This window comes from Homo sapiens, chromosome 8, assembly GCF_000001405.40.
Source record: "Homo sapiens chromosome 8, GRCh38.p14 Primary Assembly".
NCBI lineage: Eukaryota > Metazoa > Chordata > Mammalia > Primates > Hominidae > Homo > Homo sapiens.
In genome coordinates, this window is record NC_000008.11 from 143,922,450 (window position 1) to 143,941,697 (window position 19,248).

General features: G+C 67.8%; 1 protein-coding gene across 45 annotated transcripts in view, besides 13 other annotated features; it reads right to left on the minus strand.

The window, feature by feature from the left end:
- PLEC (plectin) overlaps window positions 1–19,248 on the minus strand; it is a 61,593-nt gene that overhangs the window by 7,297 nt on the left and 35,048 nt on the right. For 8 of the 45 annotated variants that reach the window (XM_006716588.4, XM_005250981.4, XM_005250982.5 and 5 more), the window contains 31 exons: window positions 16,182–16,243; window positions 15,952–15,966; window positions 15,702–15,791; window positions 14,716–14,793; window positions 14,530–14,622; window positions 13,399–13,565; window positions 12,749–12,864; window positions 12,562–12,668; window positions 12,361–12,480; window positions 12,186–12,281; window positions 11,869–11,996; window positions 11,549–11,642; window positions 10,748–10,902; window positions 10,344–10,662; window positions 10,186–10,263; window positions 9,951–10,112; window positions 9,681–9,785; window positions 9,488–9,583; window positions 9,085–9,210; window positions 7,935–8,087; window positions 7,695–7,849; window positions 7,487–7,613; window positions 7,197–7,380; window positions 6,965–7,122; window positions 6,654–6,832; window positions 5,405–5,543; window positions 4,961–5,317; window positions 4,803–4,886; window positions 4,528–4,632; window positions 4,335–4,433; window positions 55–3,435 (listed from right to left, as the gene is read on the minus strand). In XM_006716588.4, coding sequence (XP_006716651.1) covers window positions 55–3,435; window positions 4,335–4,433; window positions 4,528–4,632; window positions 4,803–4,886; window positions 4,961–5,317; window positions 5,405–5,543; window positions 6,654–6,832; window positions 6,965–7,122; window positions 7,197–7,380; window positions 7,487–7,613; window positions 7,695–7,849; window positions 7,935–8,087; window positions 9,085–9,210; window positions 9,488–9,583; window positions 9,681–9,785; window positions 9,951–10,112; window positions 10,186–10,263; window positions 10,344–10,662; window positions 10,748–10,902; window positions 11,549–11,642; window positions 11,869–11,996; window positions 12,186–12,281; window positions 12,361–12,480; window positions 12,562–12,668; window positions 12,749–12,864; window positions 13,399–13,565; window positions 14,530–14,622; window positions 14,716–14,793; window positions 15,702–15,791; window positions 15,952–15,966; window positions 16,182–16,243 — 7,328 coding nt within the window. Of the gene's footprint in view, window positions 1–54; window positions 3,436–4,334; window positions 4,434–4,527; window positions 4,633–4,802; window positions 4,887–4,960; window positions 5,318–5,404; window positions 5,544–6,653; window positions 6,833–6,964; window positions 7,123–7,196; window positions 7,381–7,486; window positions 7,614–7,694; window positions 7,850–7,934; window positions 8,088–9,084; window positions 9,211–9,487; window positions 9,584–9,680; window positions 9,786–9,950; window positions 10,113–10,185; window positions 10,264–10,343; window positions 10,663–10,747; window positions 10,903–11,548; window positions 11,643–11,868; window positions 11,997–12,185; window positions 12,282–12,360; window positions 12,481–12,561; window positions 12,669–12,748; window positions 12,865–13,398; window positions 13,566–14,529; window positions 14,623–14,715; window positions 14,794–15,299; window positions 15,792–15,951; window positions 15,967–16,181; window positions 16,244–16,659; window positions 16,769–16,900; window positions 17,149–19,248 lie in introns of those variants that run through there. The other 37 variants (NM_000445.5, NM_201378.4, NM_201379.3 and 34 more) reach the window with 15 other exon arrangements.
- Window positions 2,859–3,730: an enhancer, noted in NCBI's record as "H3K27ac-H3K4me1 hESC enhancer chr8:144999476-145000347 (GRCh37/hg19 assembly coordinates)". NCBI's record gives its function as "activates a minimal SCP1, AML or CMV promoter by ChIP-STARR-seq in naive H9 embryonic stem cells {active_cell/tissue: H9 hESC(naive)}" and the evidence as "EXISTENCE:reporter gene assay evidence [ECO:0000049][PMID:30033119]".
- Window positions 5,771–5,900: an enhancer, noted in NCBI's record as "active region_28075". NCBI's record gives its function as "activates an Ori minimal core promoter by ATAC-STARR-seq in GM12878 lymphoblastoid cells {active_cell/tissue: GM12878}" and the evidence as "EXISTENCE:reporter gene assay evidence [ECO:0000049][PMID:35858748]".
- Window positions 6,027–6,156: a silencer, noted in NCBI's record as "fragment chr8:145002644-145002773 (GRCh37/hg19 assembly coordinates)". NCBI's record gives its function as "represses an EF-1alpha promoter that drives an FKBP-Casp9 reporter gene in an ReSE screen in HepG2 liver carcinoma cells {active_cell/tissue: HepG2}" and the evidence as "EXISTENCE:reporter gene assay evidence [ECO:0000049][PMID:32094911]".
- Window positions 6,291–6,540: an enhancer, noted in NCBI's record as "active region_28076". NCBI's record gives its function as "activates an Ori minimal core promoter by ATAC-STARR-seq in GM12878 lymphoblastoid cells {active_cell/tissue: GM12878}" and the evidence as "EXISTENCE:reporter gene assay evidence [ECO:0000049][PMID:35858748]".
- Window positions 9,765–10,700: an enhancer, noted in NCBI's record as "H3K4me1 hESC enhancer chr8:145006382-145007317 (GRCh37/hg19 assembly coordinates)". NCBI's record gives its function as "activates a minimal SCP1, AML or CMV promoter by ChIP-STARR-seq in primed H9 embryonic stem cells {active_cell/tissue: H9 hESC(primed)}" and the evidence as "EXISTENCE:reporter gene assay evidence [ECO:0000049][PMID:30033119]".
- Window positions 11,309–11,588: a silencer, noted in NCBI's record as "silent region_19628". NCBI's record gives its function as "represses an Ori minimal core promoter by ATAC-STARR-seq in GM12878 lymphoblastoid cells {active_cell/tissue: GM12878}" and the evidence as "EXISTENCE:reporter gene assay evidence [ECO:0000049][PMID:35858748]".
- Window positions 11,709–11,818: a silencer, noted in NCBI's record as "silent region_19629". NCBI's record gives its function as "represses an Ori minimal core promoter by ATAC-STARR-seq in GM12878 lymphoblastoid cells {active_cell/tissue: GM12878}" and the evidence as "EXISTENCE:reporter gene assay evidence [ECO:0000049][PMID:35858748]".
- Window positions 12,109–12,158: an enhancer, noted in NCBI's record as "active region_28077". NCBI's record gives its function as "activates an Ori minimal core promoter by ATAC-STARR-seq in GM12878 lymphoblastoid cells {active_cell/tissue: GM12878}" and the evidence as "EXISTENCE:reporter gene assay evidence [ECO:0000049][PMID:35858748]".
- Window positions 16,765–16,864: a silencer, noted in NCBI's record as "silent region_19630". NCBI's record gives its function as "represses an Ori minimal core promoter by ATAC-STARR-seq in GM12878 lymphoblastoid cells {active_cell/tissue: GM12878}" and the evidence as "EXISTENCE:reporter gene assay evidence [ECO:0000049][PMID:35858748]".
- Window positions 16,885–17,124: an enhancer, noted in NCBI's record as "active region_28078". NCBI's record gives its function as "activates an Ori minimal core promoter by ATAC-STARR-seq in GM12878 lymphoblastoid cells {active_cell/tissue: GM12878}" and the evidence as "EXISTENCE:reporter gene assay evidence [ECO:0000049][PMID:35858748]".
- Window positions 17,145–17,374: a silencer, noted in NCBI's record as "silent region_19631". NCBI's record gives its function as "represses an Ori minimal core promoter by ATAC-STARR-seq in GM12878 lymphoblastoid cells {active_cell/tissue: GM12878}" and the evidence as "EXISTENCE:reporter gene assay evidence [ECO:0000049][PMID:35858748]".
- Window positions 17,535–17,594: an enhancer, noted in NCBI's record as "active region_28079". NCBI's record gives its function as "activates an Ori minimal core promoter by ATAC-STARR-seq in GM12878 lymphoblastoid cells {active_cell/tissue: GM12878}" and the evidence as "EXISTENCE:reporter gene assay evidence [ECO:0000049][PMID:35858748]".
- Window positions 17,772–18,066: an enhancer, noted in NCBI's record as "tiled region #8265; HepG2 Activating non-DNase unmatched - State 1:Tss, and K562 Activating non-DNase unmatched - State 1:Tss". NCBI's record gives its function as "activates a minimal TATA promoter and a strong SV40 promoter by Sharpr-MPRA in HepG2 and K562 cells {active_cell/tissue: HepG2 | K562}" and the evidence as "EXISTENCE:reporter gene assay evidence [ECO:0000049][PMID:27701403]".

Consider the following 19,248-nt stretch of genomic DNA (forward strand, 5'->3'; position numbering starts at 1 on the left):
CACCAAAGCAGATCCCCGGGCCCACCCGCCCGTCGCACGTAGAGGGGGCGGTACCTCCTCAGACTTGAGCTGCAGCAGTTTGGCCTCCTGTTGGAGCTTCTCCTTCTCACGCTCCAGCTCAGCGATGGCCTCCCGCAGGCGCTCGGCATCATGGTCACTCTGCTGTCGCTGGATCTCCAGTGTCTGCACCAGGGTCACCTTCTCCTGGGTGGCGAGCTCCGTGCGGTGCAGCTTCTCACCGATCTCCTCCGCCTGCTTCCGGAAGCGCTGGGCGTCCTCCTCAGCGCGGGCCTGGGCTCGGCTCATCTCGGCCACACGCAGCTTGAGGCGCTCAGCCTCAGCGCTCATCTCCAGCTGCCGCTGCCGCTCGGCCTCCAGCGTCCGCTGGAAGCCCTGCGTCTCCTCCGCCAGCTGCTGCGCCATCTGCTCCTTGTCCTCCTGCAGCCGCCGCGCCTGCTCCTGCGCAAGCTCCTTCTGCTGCTGCAGCAGTTCCGCCTCAGCCTTGAGTCGCGTGGCCTCCTGCACCGCCTGCATCTTCTCCTTGAGCATCTTCTCTGCCAAGGCCCGCTGCTGTGCCAGGTCCTCCTCTGCCAGCTGCCGCAGTCGCGCAGCCTCTTGGGCCGCCACACTCAGCCGCGCGGCCTCCTCCGCCACCTGCTTCATCTTCTCAGCCTCCTCCTGCAGGAAGCGCTGCGTATTGTCCTTGTCACGCAAGATGAGTGCGCGGTTCTCAGCCTCGATGCGTGCCTTGAGCTTGCTCAGCTCCTCCATCTGCACGCGCACCGAGAAGAGCTCCTCCTCCACCTGGCTGCGCTGGCGTGCGGCCTCCGTGGCCTCCGCCTTCAGCCGCTGCAGCTCCTCGTCCAGCAGGTTCTTCTGGTGGTCGGTCTCCTCCAGCTGCAGCCGCAGTGTTGTCAGCTCCTGCTCCACCTGCGCCTTCTGCCGCAGCGTCTGCTCGGCGAATTTCTTATGCTTCTCCATCTCCGCGTCAGCTGCCTGCTTCTGCCGCAGGGCCGCCTGCTCCGCCTGTGCCCGCCGCGCCGCCTCTTGCTCGGCCTCCTTGCGCAGCTTCTCTGCAGCCGCCTGTGCCTGAGCCCGGGCCTGTGCCTGCTCCTCTGCCGACTGCTTCAGCCGCTCGGCCTCTTCCACCTGCCGCCGGGACTGCGCCGCCTCACGCTCCGCCTGCACCCGGGCCTCCTCCGCCTCCTCAGCCGCCCGCCGGGCCGCCTCCGCCTCGCCGCGCAGCTGGTCCAGCACGCTCTGCTCCTGCTGCAGCGTCTGCTGTAGCTCCTGCTCCTTCTGCTGCACCGCGAAGGCGTGTGCCTTCTCTTCCGCCTGCAGCCGCTTCTGGGCGGCCTCCTGGGCCAGCTGCAGCTGCCGCGCCGACTCCTGCTCCGCTCGCTCCCGCAGGCGCCGCGCCTCCTCCACCTTGGCTTTCAGCCGCTCGACTTCCTCCAGCGCCGCCTTCCGCTGCCGTGCGGCCTCCTCCTCGGCCGCCAGGCTCTTCTGCACGCGCTCCTCAGCCTCACGGCGCCGCCGCTCCTCCTCCGCCGCCAGCTGCCGCTGCCTCGCAGCCTCCAGCTCGGCCTGCTCCTTGCTGCGCAGCGTGTCCTCCGCGTTGCTGCGGATGCGTCCCAGCTCCAGCTCCAGCTCCGCCTTGCCAGCGGCCGCCTTCTCGAAGCTCGCCTTCAGCGCCAGGATCTCCTCCTCCACCTGCCGCCGCTGCCTCAGCGTGTCCTCCACCAGCCCCTTCTGCCGCTCCAGCTCGCTGTCCGATGCCTTGCGCAGCTGGGCCAGGCGCTCCTCGATGTCAGCCTTGTGTTGCGCGGCCTGCTCCTCCAGCCGCCGCCGCTGGAAGGCCTCGTCCTCCGCCAGCCGCCGCAGGCGCTCGTTCTCCGCCTCCTTCTCCTTGAGCGCGATCTCCGCCTCCGTCTTGAGCCGCGTGGCCTCGCCGATGGCGGCCAGCTTCTCCGCAAGCACCCGCTCCGCCTCGGCCCGCTGCCGCGCCGCGTCTTCCTCGGCCAGCTGCCGCTGCCGCTTGGCCTCTTCCGCCAGGGCACGCAGGCGGGCGGCCTCCTCGGCCAGCTCGCGGAACCGGCCGGCCTCGGCCTCCAGCCTCTGCTTGGACTTCTCGCTGGTGGAGCGCGACTCCTCCTCAGCCCTCGCCTTGCTGGCCAGCAGCACCTCCATCTCGGCCCGCACCTTGGCCAGCTCGGCTTCCAGCTCCTGCCGTTTCTGCGTGGCTGCAGCCGCCTCACGCTGCAGCCGGGCCAGCTCCTCCTCCAGCAGCTGCCGCTGCTGCTCCCCCTGCTCCGTCTCGGCCCGCAGCCGGATCAACTCCTGCTCCGCGGCCAGGCGCTGCTGCGCGGTGCCTTCCGCCAGCTGCCGCTGCTTCTCCAGCTCTTGTTCAGCCAGCTCCCGCTGCCGGACGGCCTGCTCCTCCGCCTTGCCGCGCCGCCGCGCCTCGCGCTCCGCCTCCTCCTTCTGCTTCTCAGCCTCGGCCTGCGCCAGGCTCTTCTGCTGCGCCACCTCCTCCGCCTGCAGCCGCAGCCGTAGCGCCTCGTTGGCCTTGAGCTGCCAGCGCTCCAGCTCCCGCTCTGCCTCCTCGCGCGCCCGCTCGGCCTCGGCCTGCTGCTGTGCCCGCCGCTCAGCCTCCTCCCGCAGCTGTGCCACAGCCACGTGTTCCTCCTGCAGGGAGCGCTCCAGCTGTGCCGTCTTCTCGGCGAAGGAGGCGCGTTTGCTCTGCAGCTCCGCCTCTGCACTGCGCTGCGCCGTCTCCAGGGCCACCTGTACCTGCCGCGCTCGCTCCACCTCGGCCTGCCGCAGGCGCCGCTCCGCCTCCTCCGCCTGCAGCCGCAGCTCCTCCAGGGCCTGCAGGGCCCGCTGCTTCTCGCGCGCCGCCTCGGCCTCGGCCTTCACGCGCGAGGCCAGCTCCACCTCCGCCTGCCGCTTACGCTGGCTCTCGTCCTGCACCTGCCTCCGCAAGCGCTCGGCCTCCTCCTGCGCCTGTCGCTTTTGTGCCTCAGCCTCCTCCGCCCGTGCACGCAGTGCCTGCAGCTCCCCCTCAGCCCCGCCACGCTGGCGCTCGGTGGCCTCCAACTGCAGGCGCACCACGCGGATCTCCTCCTCGATGCGCAGCCGGCTGCGCTCAGCCGCCTCTGCCTGCCGGGCCTTGGCCTGGATCTCCGCCTCCGAGCTCTGCCGCAGCTGCTGCAGCTCCTCCTGAATGCTGCGCTTCTGCTGCTGCGCGTCCACCGCCGCCTCCTCCCGCCGCACCACCTCCTCCTGCATGCGCTGCTGCAGCTCCTTCGCCTCCCGCTCCGCCTGTGCCTTTGCCTGGGCGTGCGCCTCGGCCAGCTGCCGCTGCTTCTCCAGCGCGGCCTCCACCTCGGCCAGCCGCTCGCGCTCCTCTGCCCGCTGCTGCTCAGCCAGCCTCTGTGGCCACAGCAGAGAGAAGAAGAGAAGCAGAGAGAGTGTGAACACGGGCAGGCGCTGACGGGGCACGCACCGGCACAGTTCACTCAGACAGCGCGGAGCAGGGGTCGGGGAAGACAGAGGCCCCAGCCCGGCGGAGGAGACAGCGTGCACCCGCCCAGGGCGCTCGGGCAGCGATCGCAGCCGGCCCCACTGTGCTCACCAGCCTGGGGAAGGAGGCCCAGGCGTCCTCCCTGCTTCCCGCAGACAGGCGACGGAGACAGACGGACGGGGAGAGAGAGAGCAAAGCAGGAGCTCGGAACCTGCGAGCCACACCCAGCACACAGCCCTGCCTGAGCTCTGCTGGACACCAGTGGGCCTGGCTCCCACCACTGGACCCCTCTCCCCGACCAGGGTGGGAAGCCTGGGTGGGGCGGGGTGAGGCGAGGCGGCCAGCGTGGAGACAGCAGTGCAGACCCGAGCCAACTCGGAAGAGGATTCAGGGCCACGCAGAAGGTAGGGAGAAGCCAACAGATGGGTGCCTTGGAAGACCCTCCCTAGCCCCACAACTCAGCACCCCCGACTTCTGGCAGCAAAGGGTTGAGCGGAAAGGCCAACGCAGAACGCCAAGGAAGAGCCCACAGGACGGCCGCTAGGCTGCAGGGGGGACGCTCACGAGGGAGGAGAGGCGGCACCAGCCACTGTGGGGGAGCAGTGTAGCCACACCAGGCCAGGGGGGCAGGCCACAGGTGGGGCAGCCTGGGGCAGGCTGAGCTGGGGGCAGGGGGTGCTGGCAGCGCCAGTGGGGAGAGTGGGGAGGGCCACGAGAGGTGGCCTCAGGCAGCTCCTGTGGCTGTGTGTGGGACACAACAGGTGGTGAGATGGAACCCTCTGCCCAGCCTCCGCCCAACGGGCTGTACCTCCTCCTCCTCCATGCGCCGCAGAGTCTCGCTGATGAACTTGATGTACTGGCTCGTCAGTGTGGTCAGCTCGCTGTAGTGCGTACGCAGGTCCACGTACTGTGGAGTAGAGCCAGGGTTAGCCCTGCGAGAGCTGCAGCTCCAGCCAGAGGCCTGCCAGCCCCTCACCCAGTTAGGTTCGGCCCCACCCTACCTCCTGGATGACACTCTCTGATCCCGACTGGACCTTGGGCTTCTTGGCCGGGGAGGCCACCGGCTCAAGCTGCGCCTTGTACGTCACCAGCTGGAGTTCATAGTCCTGTGGCAATGCACTGCGGTCAGCCACCAGCTCTGCCCTCCGATGGCCCCTGCCCAGCCCCTAAACCCTCACATGGGCTTTCCCTGGCATGGCCCAGGCTCAGGGAAAGCCCGCCATCATCCTGGCAACGGTCCCGGACTTGGGGCCTGGTGCAGGCGGCTGGGCCTCACCTTGATGGCGTTGATGTACTGTTTCGCAAACCTCTGGCACTCCTCGACCTTCTCGCCGTGGCGCTCGATCTCCTCCAGCAGGGCCTGGGTGATGGTGTGGTCAGAGCCGTGGCCGCAGGGCACGCCCAGCCGCCCCGTCCCCACCGACCCAAGCCCACCTGCTCCTGCCGCAGCTGCTCCCGCACAGCCTGGCTGTCGGCCAGCGGCATGGCCTGGATCTGCTCCTGCCGCCGCCTGGCGTCCTGCAGCCAGGCGCCCAAGGGGTCTGCACTCTCGCGGTAGTAACGCAGCTGGCGGCCCAGTTGCTCGAGCTCGCGCTGCCGCACGTCGGTCTGGGCCAGCACAGCCTGCCAGCGCTCAAGCAACTGGGCGACCCGCTCCCGCCAGCGCTCCACCTCCACGTCCCGCTCCCCGTGCCGCTGCTGCAGTCGCTCCCCCACCTCCTGTGCCCCCCGCAGCTCATCCCGCAGGGCGTCGAACGTGGGCTGCTGTGCCTCGGCCTGGGCCCGCAGCTTCTGTTGGGGACAGGAGGGACATGTGCGGCTTCAGCTGGGCCCGCTGTACCCCCACCCCGCCATGAAGCCCAAGCCTCGAAACGATACCTTCAGAGAGGCCTTGGTGGCCTCGAGCTCCGGGAGGGTGGCCGGCACGGCCTGGGCCTCCTTGAGCTGCTCCTCGTGGGCCCTGAGCACCTCCTCGGCCCCCTGCGTGCCGCGGATCACCAGGCTGATGGTCTTGAGCCTGGCGGGAAAGCGGGGCTCAGGGCCATGACATGGGGCTCGAGCAATAGCCCAAGGGAATGGAACCCAAGCCACAGCGACCCAGGGTGCTGCCTGCCAAGCCCAGACCCAACCCTGGGGGTCAGCTGACCCTGTGGTCAGAGGCTTGCTTCAGGAGAAGAACAGCCTTGGGGAGAAGGAGGTTGGGAGCCTCTGTAACACAAGGACACTCAGGACCCAGCCTGGAGAGGGGGTGCGCCAGCCAGGAACGGCAGACCCCAAGGCCCCGAGACAGGACGAGCCCACTGGCTGGATGACAGCGGCATCCTGGTGCCCACAGGGCCTGGAAGCGTAGTTCTCAGCCCTTGCAGCCCAAGACTGGGCGAAGGGGACACCGGGGTGGAAATGGCACCCTGTGGTAGCCAGCGGCGGCCCTATCACTGTGCTGGTTCTGTGAGGAGTAGACAGCGGGTGGACCTGTGGTTTGCAACACAGGAAGAGGCGGCGGCCCTATCACTGTGCTGGTTCTGTGAGGAGTAGACAGCGGGTGGACCTGTGGTTTGCAACACAGGAAGAGGTGGCGGCCCTATCACTGTGCTGGTTCTGTGAGGAGTAGACAGCGGGTGGACCTGTGGTTTGCAACACAGGAAGAGGCGGCGGCCCTATCACTGTGCTGGTTCTGTGAGGAGTAGACAGCGGGTGGACCTGTGGTTTGCAACACAGGAAGAGACTATGACATAACACATTGGAAATAAATGCCAGAGGCCCTTAAGTCCAGGCCAGGAACAGGACAGACGAGAGGCAGGGTGCAGGATTCCTTACTGTGCCACTGAAAGTGGATCCACAGCTTCCCCACCTCACTCAGCAGCCGCTGCCCAGCTCCACTGTCTCTTCCCCACACCCGAATCTCATCACCAGGAAGTCCCCCGGCCGCCACTGTCGAAGCGTATCCAGCCCTGAACTCTTCTCACCACCTCTGCGGCCACCACCCCAGCTGGGCCTCCCGCCTCCTGGCCAGATCTCTGAACAGCCCCCAACTCGTTCCCTCCTGCACCCTCCTGCAAGGTCACAGCCCTCACCCCAGCACCCCCCAGCCGACCCCAGCCCCTCGCCTGTGGCCAGGTGCACTCACTTCTCCAGGTAGATGGCAGACAGGCTGCGGACCTGCTCCAGCTTGCCCAGCGTCAGCTCCAGCTCCGAGCGCAGCGTGGGGGCCGCAGGCGATGGCTCTGGTAGGGCCAAGACCTTCTCGGCCTCGGCAGAGAGCCGGGCGACCCCCTTGCCCAGCCCCTCCACCTCTGCCTGTGCCTTCTGCAAAGACAGGGAGTGGGAACGCACTCATCACCGAGCGCAGCACACAGCGCCCCTTGAAGGCCAAAGGAGGGAGGGTGGGAGGAGGGATGGGGAGAGGGATGGGACTGGATGGGGGGGGACGGCCCCTGCCTGCTGCTCGGCGATGCGCTGGGCACACTCCCGTGCCGGCTCTTTGTCCAGCGGCAGCCGCAGGCGGTGCACGGTGCGCGTCTCACAGGCCTCCAGCTGCAGCCGGATGTCTTTGAGCTCGGAGATGCAGCGCTGGCAGCGAGACTCTTCCTGTGCACCTGGGGAACACATGTGGGTCACTCCACCGCCCACCTCGCACCAGCCCAACCGCCCCAGCCCTGCCGTGCCCTACCCTGTTCCAGGCTCTGCAGCAGCTGCTGGTAGTGGTGGCTGCAGGAGCCGTACTCGCGCTCAGCCATCAGCCGGTCCTCGGGTCCGAAGCCGCCCGCGTCCTGGCTGTCCCGCAGGAAGGCCTGGTAGTGCAGCTCCAGGCTGTGCAGGGCTTGGCGCTGCTCCTCTGGCTTCAGGGTGCGGAACTGGGGGAAGCACGTGGGGCTGAGTGCCGGGCGAGGCGGCCGTGCCCTGCACAACGCCTCTCCCCTCCTCCCACCCAGAGAGCCCCCGGCTCGGGGGCAGGCGTACCGTGGCCAGGGACCAGGAGCGGATGAGCTGCACGTCGCGGCGAAGGCTCTGCCAGGCCAGAAGGCTCTTCATGTCCACGTGCAACTGGTGCCACAGCGTGACCAGGGCCTGGTGCTGGGCCTCCAGCCTGGCAGGTCAGGGCTACAGTCAGCGTCACCAGCGCCCCACCCGCCTTCCAGCCCCCACCTGCTGAGCCCCCGCCACCCACCTGGTGACGGCCTCCTGGGCCTCCTGGTTGGGCGGGGGCACCAGGAAGCACACGGAGGGCACGGCGGCCTCGCTGCCGGAGCTGCTGAGCACCTTCCAGTGGGACGGCTGTGCAGGGCCCACCAGCTGGCACTCGTCACCCTTGTGCACAGTCACCTGGGACGGGCAGAGTCGGTGAGGACATGGCCACACCCTGCCCTGCCTGGCCACGCCCCCCAGTGGACCCCCGGCCTGCGCTCACCTCCACCTGCTTATAGTCGCACACGGCCAGCAGGGGCAGGCGGCCCCGCATGGGGTGGGCTGGGTGGCGGGGCTTCAGCTGCACGACGGCCTTGGCCCGCTTGGCCAGGCCTGAGAGGTGGCCCTTGTACTCGTTCAGCTGTTCCTTCTCGTCCTGTGGGGGAGGGGCAGCATCCAGACGAGGGCCATGGAGACCCACAGGCCTGCCCCAGGCACCCCCAGACCCCGGGACCAGGCCTGTGGGGCCCTCCTGATGCTCCCGGGGTGGCAGCACTTGGAAGCAGGAGGTATAGCTGGGACAGGCCCCGGGGGTTGGCCCCAAGCAGACCCATGCACCCTCGCTCCTTCCCAACCCAGACAGGGCACCCTCCTCTCACCCCAGCTCACCCACCATGTCCTCCCAGCTACGCTCTGGTCCCTACAATGCCCTCGCCCCTTGCCCCTCCCCTGCGGGCTGCAGAAGGTACTGCCTCCTCCCATCCCACCCCTCTGCGGGGGCCAGGCCGCAGGACGGCACACACCTGGGAGCTGCCGGCTCTCCCCCCGGCCCAGCCCTGCCGACCTCAGAGGCCATTTCAGTCTCCAGTCCCTCTTCCCTGTCACTCCCCACTGTGCACCCGCCCTCCTGGGTGATCCCACCCCTGCTCCCAGAGCACAAAGCCCAGTTCCACTCTGCCCGCTCCAGATCTCAGGCCAAACAGCTGGTGCCCCTTCTATAGTACAAGGGCTGGCAGTGCTCCTTCTATAGCACAAGGGCTGGCGGTGCCCCTTCTACAGCACAAGGGCTGGCGGCAGCTGCTGACTTCAGGCTTCCACTCACTCTGTGGCTATGGAGATGGGGGCGGCCCGGCTTGGACCGGCTGCCTCTCGGCTCCCCACATCCTGCCTCATTCCCCCCTTGGCTGACCTCTACACCTCCCATGGTGCCTCCCAACTCCTGCTGGCCCCTCCAGTTGCCCCCTAGTCTCCAGAGTACCCATGCAGCCCAGAACATCCTGCCTCATTCCCGCTTCGGCTGACCTCTACACCTCCCATGGTGCCTCCCAACTCCTGCTGGCCCCTCCAGTTGCCCCCTAGTCTCCAGAGTACCCGTGCAGCCCAGACTCCAGGCCAGCCCCTCCTGACACGCCCCTGCACACCCCCTCCCTCACCTGGGCATCCTGCAGCAGGTCCTCCAGCCGGGTGACGGTGGCGGAGCGATCACAACTGTATTTCCTACGCAGTGCCTCCTGCAGCTTCTGCAACTGCCCCTCGGCCTCCCGCACATCTGAGAAGAACTGGGGCAGCGGGAGGGGGTCACGCCAGGCTACCTGGGACCAGAGCCCCAGCCCACAGTTGTCCCAGGGCAGGCCCAAGACGGGGGCACTGAGGAAGGAGTGGCAAAGCCCCCAGGAGGCCTGGGGAGCACCCCTGTCCAAGGCCCCGGTCAGGCTGCAGGCAGCAGCTGGCAACGTCTGCAGACAGGAGGGCTCCTGATTGGAGCTGCCGAGGGGGTCCAGGGGCTCCTGCAAGGCTGCCGCTGAGCCACAGTGCGGAGGGGGCTCCGGTTCTCACCTGAAAGTAGGCAGCGTTCTCCTTCAGGTGTGCCTCGATACAGCAGCACAGCTGTAGCATCCAGCTCCACTGCGTCTGCAGGGCCGCCTGGAAGGACTGCGGGACAGCAGGTCCCGGTCAGGCCCCGCCCCGCCCCGCCTGGGGACCCGGCACGGCCCCCCCCGCAGCCCCGCCCCTACCCAGGGAGCCCCACCTCCACCGTGGGCCGGGCCGGGTGGTCCTCCCGCAGCAGCCGGTCCCCAGCATTTTGGAGCTCCTTGATCTTCTTCTCCTTCAGCTCCAGCTCCCGCATCAGCGCCTGGCACCAGAGCAAAGGGTCTCAGGGACGGCCGGCCACACCCGGCTCTGCCACGCTCCCAGCAAACTCGACCCAGGGCCCCCACTGGTCTCTGACCATAGGGGACGGCCAGGGCACAGCTGGGGAGGGGGCTGTGGGGTTCAGGGCAGCTGGGCCACCGCTCACCGAGTAGCTCTCCTTCTTGGCGGTCATGTTGGTGTTGCGGTCGCTCCAGTCGAAGCCCACCTCCTCCTCCTCCTTCTCATTCAGCCACATTAGCTCCTTAGTGGCGGCTGCCACAAAGCTGTGCAAGCTCTCCAGGGACCTGAGGCGGGCCTTGGAGGAGTTCTGTGGGCAGGAGGGTGCGTGTCAGCAGGCCGCGGGCTACCCACCTCCCCCGGCTGGCCCTGCCCCCACTCACCAGCAGCTTGGCGTACTGCAGGTCCAGCCGACCCAGGCAGTCACGGTAGGCACCCCGGGTGGCGGGGGAGAGCTGGCCCTGCAACAGATGAGACGGTGAGGTCTGCAGTGGCTGGGCCCGGCCCACCCCCGCACTGCCCATCGCTCAGCGCCACCCACCTCGTCACTCCGTGCCCGCTCGATCTTGGCCCGGAATTCTTCGATGGACTGGTGCAGGCCTCGGTGGCTGCCCAGCTGCGCCTCCACGCTGGGCAGGTCCACACCCCACTCAGCGCCATCCACACGGTGCTGGTTCTCCTCCACCCAGGCCAGCAGGTCCTGCAGGTAGCGCAGAGTGGAGTCCTCCAGCTCGGGGCGCCTCTGCACACTCTGCAGAGTCACCTGGGCCACCTGGGTTGCAGGGGCCGCCACGCCTGCCTTCAGCCGTAGGTTGTACTCGGTGCGGATGGCTACCAGGCGCTCGTGCAGACGGTACACCCTGGGGCAGCAGAGGACTCAGGTAGGTGTTGGCGGGCCTGGGGCCGTGTGTACCTGGGCTTCAGGGAGGGCAGGGCGGGGCCCACCTGCGGTACATCTGCTCGCCCTGCGGGTGCCGTCCATCCTTGAGGGTCTGCACGTCGTTGAAGAGCAGCCGGATCATGCTATCCGCCTTGTCCAAGTCCCGTTCCACCTCCCCCGCCCGCTGTGGCACTTTGCCTGCAGCCAGCAGCCGGACATCCTGCAAGGTCGTTGCCATGACTCGGAGCACAGCTGATCCCCCTCTGACCTCACAGGGGCCCCGGCCAAGACGGCCACCCTCAGCCGCTTCCTCAGCCTCAGTGGGCCACTGCCTCCATCCCTGTCCTTCCCCTTCCCTCCCTGCCCACCTCACACATCTTCCTACTGGCCTTCTGGGGGATTGGGACCAAGTCCAGAGTACTTAGCCCAGTCCAAGAACCGAGACCCCCATGACCATGTCTGTGGGGTCCTGGGCCTCATCCTCCATCACCCACCCTGGGTAACTCCTCCTGTAATGCCACGTGGGCCCTGTCCTCCTGGGCAATCAGCAGTGGGTTGGGCCCTCCCCCAACCCCTCCCCTAACAGTAAGCCGCTGTCGGGGAGGGGGCCTGGCGGGGGCAAGGCAGCCCAGCGTGGGTTCTGCCCCGTGGCCAGAAACCAACTCTGCCCAAAGCAGGCAGTGAGAGTTAGCTGCACACGAGGAGGGAGGAGCTCAGGCCTGGATTCCCCACCACATGCCCCGCCCCTGCCCCTGCCCCTGCCCCAGGAGCCCAGGGGGACAGCCCCCTCCTGGCTTTAGGGCTGCAGGGCGGGGCAGGCTCCTCCGGCCTCCCTCCCGCCCACTGCCTGCCCCACACCCCCTCACCGACTGCAGCAGGGCGTCGGCCTGGTTCAGCTGCTCCTCACACAGCCCCGCCTCCATCTGCAGCTTGGTCACGATGCGCTGAAGACACTCCAGCCTGCAGCAGCAGCACAGGGAAGGGGCCGCGTTGGCCGGGTCCGGCACAGCCCTGGCCACAGACTGCAGCTCGCCTCCCGCTCCGGTCTCCCTGGCTGTGGCCCACTGTCCTAAGGCGAGTGGGAGCTTGGGTTCCCCCGCCGGGGGCGGGGCGGGGAGGGGGGTTTCCTTCCCAGGCAGTGACACACCCTCGGGTGGTTCCCCTGCCACCACAGGGCCCCACCCACCTCTCAAACTCGCTGCGGAGCTGCTTCTCCCGCTCCAGGATGGCCACGTGCAGCTTGCCCCACTCCTTCTCCACATCCAGCGGGTGGTAGCCAGGGGGCACCTTGAGCTGGCCTGCTTGCACCGCTCCCTGTAGACAGGGGCCACACTCAGGCCCTATAGGCAGGGGGCAGGGGGTGGGGCGCTGGGCCTTCAGACCCCAGCCCACCAGACCTGGGACAGCCCTGGTCCCAAAGGCAGGGCCAGGTCGGCTCCGGAAGAACCTTTCAGGCCTGGGGCGTTCCAGGACACCACCCACCCCTCCAGCGGTCCCACTCACCTCCAGGGATTGGTAGATGCCCTTGGACCTGTTCTTGTCGGCCTCCTTGGCTGGTAGCTCCATCTCCTTAAACTTCAGGAACTGAGACCACAGGATCTGCCAGGGACGAGGCTGTCGGCAACCACGCCGGGCTCTCAGGGCAGGCCCAGGACCCCGCCCCCCACGGCAGGCCCACCTCAATCTCCTCGAAGCTGGAGGGGAACCTGCGTTCCTCAAAGGCGGCCGTGTGGTGTCGCATCCACTGAAGCAGCAGCAGCACCAGCTCCCGGTACTCCTGCCAGCGCAGCTGCAGCTCCTGCGGGCAGGCACGGGCGGCTGTCAGGGGTCGTCGGGGCGTCCAGGCCCAAGCCCCCTGCCCTCCGGGCCCCCCACTCACGTTGGCCCTCACCCCATCCTGCACGTCCGGCACGCGGGGCATGGCGTCATACAGCGACGAGACGTAGGTGATGATGGACTTCTCGTCGGGCTGAGGGACATCCACGTCTGCAGGGAAGGGCAGCTCAGCGGTGGCTCTGGGGCAGGCAGCAGGGGAAGGGACAGGGAGGAAGGCCACGCAGACGTACCCTCAGGGTCCAGGAGCCGCGTCACTCCCAGGTCCCGCTCCGCCACAGAGAAGGCCTGGTCCAGGTTCTCCAGGTTGGTCTGCCGGTACACCTTGTTCATGTCGATGAGCAGGGGCCTGGGACAAGCAGGTGGCTGGTCAGGTGGGTGGGACAAGACCAGCGGCCACACCACACAGGCGGGTGCACAGGCCGGCTCCTCACACATCCCAGCAACCATGGACCCCCCCAACACTCACCCTGAAAAATACACTGTCACATGGGCAGAGCTGAGAGCACCCTGCCACCCCCACACCCAGAAGCCCAGGGGCACAGCACAGAGGACTGCGCAGAGCTGAGGGTGCCAGGCAGCTGGGGTTCCCTGCAGCCACCCTCCCCACCAGGCCCCTCCGGAGGCGTCCACAGAGGGCACATGCACCTGGCTGTGAGGACCAGCAGCCCGCGGGCCCTCCAGTCTTGAGATCAAGTGGTGGTGCTTCTGAAGGACACCAGGGTGGGGCTGGGCCCTGAACTCCACCACCCCGAGGCGGCCAGCTGGCACTCATCCCTGTTCCTCCTGCCCTCCTCCCTGCCCCAACGTGTCTGAAGTTGCCTAGTGGAGGCGCTGTGGGGGTGCCCCCAGCCCACAGCCCCCTGCCCCCGGGGCCATGTACTTGTGCCGGTGGATGATGGCATTGAAGAGGCGGCCGTCTCTCCAGCTGGAGGTGAAGTTGTCGCATCGCAGGCCCTGGTACCCCTCCACCATTCGCTGCGACCACAGCAGCAGCTTCTCCTTGGCCGTCATGTCCTCCGACTGCCCACTCACCTGGATATCTGAGATCTGCTCACAGCAGAGAGGAGGCCACAGCTCAGCCACAGCCACCAGGCCTGCTCTGTGCCCACAGCCACATGCACAGGGGCAGGGGTAGCTCAGCACCCAGGGGGAGTGCATGGGGCCACCAAACCAGCCAGGGCAGCACCGGGCTCCAGGGCCCTTCCCTGTTGGGAAGCTGCTGGGACTGGCCATGCCTCGGGGCCACAAGTCCAGCCACTCCAGCCGGTGGCAGCTGCCACCACGCAGCTCAGAACCCCCAACCCTCACTGCCACCACACAGCAGGTGCCCACTCCCCTAGCTGGGGAGGGCTAGGCTGCACCCTGCACCTCCCGGAGCTGGGATGGAGCAGAGTGGAAGGGCAGTGGGCATAAGAGGAACCCACAAGTGTACCACTAAACCTGGCCCAGAACCCCCAGGCCTGGAAAAGGCTGGGGGTCGAGCTCCATCGATGGTTGCAGGCTGGCAGGTGGGGCCTCTGGCAGCCTGGCTTTACACTCAGTGGCATGCTCAGGCCAGGTTCTGCCCACCCACCCCTAGCTGCCTGTCGTCCTGCCAGCCTGTGTGACTCAGCTGCCGTGCCAGCACCAGGCTCTGCCTGCTCAGCTCTCAGATTTGTGGTTTCCTGTGCAGCCAGGACAAGCAGCGGGTGAGTCAGCCTGTGCTGCGCAGAAGCCTCCCCAGGGCAGGCACCGGGGCCTGCATTCCTCCACAGGGAGGCTCTGGGCCCTGCCCAGCCAGGGCCAGAGGGCACGGATAGGTGGCCTCAGAGAGAGGCCTGTACCCTCAGGCCACAGATCCAGTCCAGGGTTGCGGCTGGCAGGAAGGCACCCAGGTGCCACCATACCTACGGCGCCAGTCACCTCCCAGGCCACGCCCTAGCCAGAAAGCGGATCAACCCGCCAGCCAAGGAGCCCAGGCTACCCTGGAAACTCCTGCAGGGGGTGGGGGTCCTGGGGGCAGCCGTTCTACCTGGAAGTGCAGAATGATTGTCCAGATGAGGCCAAGGGTCAGCTTGGGGTTGCCGTCAGCGATGTCATCATTCCTGATGTTCACCAGCTTCACCTGTGAGCGAGGGGCTCTCGGTCACGGCCCACAGGGCGGGGCTGGCTTGGTGAGGGGTCTGGGTGGGGCCCAGGGCCTGCCGGGCAGCCTTACCTGGCGGTGCCGGAGGTAGTCCAGGGCAATCTGGACATTCTGCAGCTTGTGGAAACGCATCCTCCCCTTCTCCCGGGGCTGTGGGGAGGCACAGTCAGCACCCACAGTGCAGCTGCAGCTCCCGGGCCCCACCCTCAGCATGCCCCAAAGCGCCGCAGCAACCGAGCCAAGGGTCTTCCCCAGGGGGCAGCAGCCCCTCATCCCAGGTTCACCCTCCCCCGCAGGGAAAGGGAGGCCACCGGCCCAGGGGCCAGGCCAGGCCCATCAGGGCTCGGGAAGTCCAGCGACCCAGGCTGAGGGAAGGAAGGAAGGGGTGGGAGGAGACAATAGCCAGGAAGCCTCGTGTGGAGGGCAGTGGCACTAAAGGGGGGGTCCTCCTGCCTGGCGGTGGCAGCCACAGCAGCCACCGGTGGGTCCCAGGCCAGCTCTGGGCAGCACGGTGGACGGGCAGCTTGACACCCAACCACCTACCCGCCCAAGAGCCAGGCAGGGGTTGGCCGACGGGCCACCAGCCCCCAGAAAGCCGGGCTCCACGGTCTTGGGGAGCTCCCGTGCCGCTGCAGCCGGCAGGCACAGCCACTCACCAGGCGTGAGCTCCTGCTTACGTCCCGCTCCCTCGGCTGCCCGGCCAGAGCAGGGCAAAGGGTAAAGGGCAGAGGTCAAGGTTCAGAGTCCAAGCAGCAGAGAAACCAAAGCAAAGCGGAGCATGAGGTTACTGTGTCCCGACGCGGAGGGCGGCAAGGCCCAGAGCAGCCGAGGTCCGAGGGTTGCGGCCACTCCCAGGCCAGGCCCTCGGCTGTGATGCCCAGCAGCCTGGGCGGGAGGTGCTGCCAGGGACGAGGCCAGCCTGCCCCCAGGGAGAAGGCAGGAGGGGTTGAGCTGGATTCCAAGTAGAGTGGGCGGCCGGAGAGGCCCCAAGGAGGGAAGGCAGGCAGAGGTCTCCAGGTGGGGCAGGCGGGGCCCGGAGGGGGCAGGGGCACACGTACCAGGCTGTCCCCCGAGAGGACCTCCAGCAGGGAGATGAGGTTGTGGCCATCGCGGAGGTCTTCATACAGGTCACTGATGTGCCTCTGGGCCTGTGGGGACAGCAGCGGCTGAGGTGGCCAGTCCCCCAGAGCCACCAATAGGCCCTGAGTGGCTGATCTACAGAGTGGGTGCTGGTCCCAGAGGGAAGGAGGCGGGGGCTGAGTCTCCCGGGAGCCCACGGAACACACCCTGCCCCACGGAGGCACCTACCTCTGCCCGCCAGTGCTGCAAGGAGAGACCAGGAAAGACCAGAAGGAAGAGGAGGAAGAGAGAGGCAGGAGCAGGCGTAGGGAAGAAAGAGGACAGAAAATAACAGGTTTCAGAGATGAAAGGTGAGCACACAGGCAGCATGGGGACAGCCTTGGGCGGCAGGGGCCACCCTCCCTCAGCGCCTCCCACAGCCTCAGCCCCTGTGACACGCACCAGCATGCGCCACCAACCTTGATGAGGTGCTTGTTGACCCACTTGGTGAAGGTTTTCTTCTGCACACGATCCCGCTCATCTGGGGGAGACAAGACCAGCTTACCTGGGGCCTGGGAGAAGCCCCGGGGGCCCTCAGGTGACCACCGTGCAGACACAGCAGCCTGGCTGGCCAGGTCCTGCCTGGGGAGCCCCAAAGCCTCCCTCAGATCACACACTGAGACCCAGGCGCCCTCACCCGCAGCCCAGCCACACAGCAGAGACCCAGGTGCCAGGGGCCCAGGCGCCACCAGGTGCAGCCACCCCACCCCGGACTCTTCCCCCGAGGAAATGGGAGGGTCCTGGGCGCACCCTGAGCCCAGGGCACACAAGTCCCGTCCTGCAGTCCCCCCCGGCCTCTACAGACTGAGACCCAAGCAGGGGTGTGGCAGAGCCAGGGCCCGGGCCCGCTGGGGTGTTGGAAGGGAAGCCGCGTGTGCTGCTGACAGGGCAGCGAACCTTCCCCAGAGCGCAGAGTTCCTCGCCCTTCCAGGCCCGACATCTGACGCTCGGAGGCCCCCGTCAGCCTCGCGGGCGCCTGTCGGCCCACTCCGTGTTGGGTGGGGATGGCTGGCCCCCGACCCCCATCTCCAAGACCAGCCCCCCAGCGGTGCCAAGGCTTTCCTGCCACAGGAAGTGGGCCTTCCTCCCGCAGGGGCCCGCCCTGCCTGGCGGGGGTGCCCGAGGGGAGCCCTGCTACCTTTCTTGCCCTCAGAGGCCCTGAGCACAGCCAGGTACAGGTTGTCCTCCGAGCTGGTTCTCTTTCGGCCCAGGCCCTCGGGCTGCGGCACGCGGAGCTGGTGCTGAGACATGCTGCCCCCACACCTTCGTCGCCCGGACCCTCGGCCTCAGGCACGGTGCTCTGGGCAGCCCCGTGTGGCACACAGGCAGCTGAAGGCTGGCGGCCCCACGAGACGCTCACTCGGCACAGGCTCAGCTCAGAGCCCCAGTCGGTGCGGCCACTCCCTGCCTGCTGTACTCCCCGGCGAGGCCGGCCCGCCCCCGAGGCCCCACCCTGCCCAGGCCGCCGCCAGGGAGGGGAGTGTCCCGGCGGGAAGGAGCAAGCAGCCCCCTCCCCCACAGACACGCCCTCGGCCCGCCAGAAACAGGAAACCGGGGTTTCCTCACCCACCCCGACCACTGCAGCCCCCTAGGGGGACCTGGGGACACGGGGAGCTGGCACTTCACTGCACACCAAATGGTGCCAGGACCGCAGAGGAACACAGGCCGTCCCCACAGCCACCCAGAAGGACCCCCCAACAGACTGAAGGGCTCCCCCGACGGGAGGGGCTCTGAGGCCACGCCTCTCTTTGGAGCTCCCTCCAGGCCTGGGCCAGGCCCTGCTTCAGCCTCTGCCCACCCACCCTGCCAGGGCGGACTCAAGAAGCCGCTGATACCTGGCGAGGGGAGGGGACCTGCTGCCTGTCAGCTCTTGCAGCCCCCCAATCACACCTCTTCACAGACCTGCATGAAGCGGGGAGCACACCCTGCCCCATGGTGCCTGCCCTGGCCCTGGGGCCAGTGGGGTCCCACCCCAGGCCTGGCCCCTCCCAAGCTGCCCACCTGGCACATCCTGGAGCAGTGCCCACCTGCGGAGCCCACCCTGCCCCAGGCAGACACCTCACGTCGGAGGCGCGTAGCTGAGGGCTGACTCACGGAGGCCGGGCCTCATGGGGGAATGGAGCATCGGGAAGCCCCAGGAGGGGCCTCGCCAGTGAGTCAGGGATGGGGAGGGGGCCCAAGCCTGTGACTCACAGAGGGGAAGCCACACCTGAGGCAGGACCTGGGCGACCCCAGGGGTGGGGGGTGCTGTTTGCAGCTGGGTGGGGCTCAAGGGAAGCAGTCTCATGCTGTAAAGGGCAAAGGGCAAAGGGCCTGCGCTGGCTGGGGCCTCCGGCTCCCTGGGGTCCGGGGCGGAGCTGCCTCTGGCCAGCTTCTGGGCCTGCCCAGCCCACCCGACCACCATAGGAAAGAATGCGCTGCCCCAACCACAAGAATGTTCCAGCCGCACATCAGGCAGATTCGGTCCAGCTGGGAGCTGCACTCGGCCTCAGTTCTGGGAAGAGCTCACCCCACCTCATTCCTACTGCCCCTGAGGCCGTGAGGGGGCACCAGAACCCTCACAATGGGGGGTGCCCAAACCCCTCAGAGGTGGGGAAGCCCCCACTCCACGCCAAGGGGCACAGCCAGCCCCTAGGGCTCTGCCACATCGTACACGCCGCCCAACGAAGACACCCCTTGGTCTCCATGCATGGTCTCTGAGCCTGGCATGAGATTCAGGGTGACCCTCTTGCTCTGCCTGTCCGGCCCAGCAGCCTCCAGAACCTCAGGAGTCACCAGAAGCCCCCAAATCAAAATCTGACCCCGCACTGGTCAGCACCTCCAGTCTTGTGCCCAAGGGCACCCCGGACCCCACACCTCTGCCGCCCCTCCCTGGGTCCAAAGCCTCTGGAAACACTGTCGCCTCTTCAGAAGCCCTGGGCCAGCAGCTACCCTGAGGCCAAGCCCCGCGCCTGCTGGGTATGGGCTCTGGGGGCCCGGCCGTGACCAGGTGGCTCCTGCCTGCAGGAACGGGGCTGCCACTCTGCTGAGGCACAGTGTGAGATCCCGGAACAGCCAGGGAGGTGGGCACAGGGAGTCCACGACAGCTGGAAACTGGGAGCCGGGGCCAAGGTCCAGGACCCACGTGGAGCCCACCCCAGCCAGGCCCCTGTTCCAGCCTTCTCCCTGCCACTAACAGGCCTCCAAAGATGCCGCCCTGGGCCGGGCCAGGGTCAGGAATGGGGCAGGGGCTCAGGGAAGGGAAGGGGCACGGTGGGGACTCCAGACACGGACTCGGGCAAGGCTGGGACCGGGTGAGGAGAAGGGCTGGGGCGGGGCAGGGCTGGGACCAGGTGGGCTGGGGGCTCGGTCAGGGGCCTCCACCTCCCAAGCCTGGCTCAAGCTCCCCTTCCCTACTTCCTGCCTCTGGGTGCCTCTTTGCTCTGAGCTCTTCCCTCCTCATCACCTCCCCTCCCTCCCAGCCCAGCCTGCCCCGCCCCATCCAAT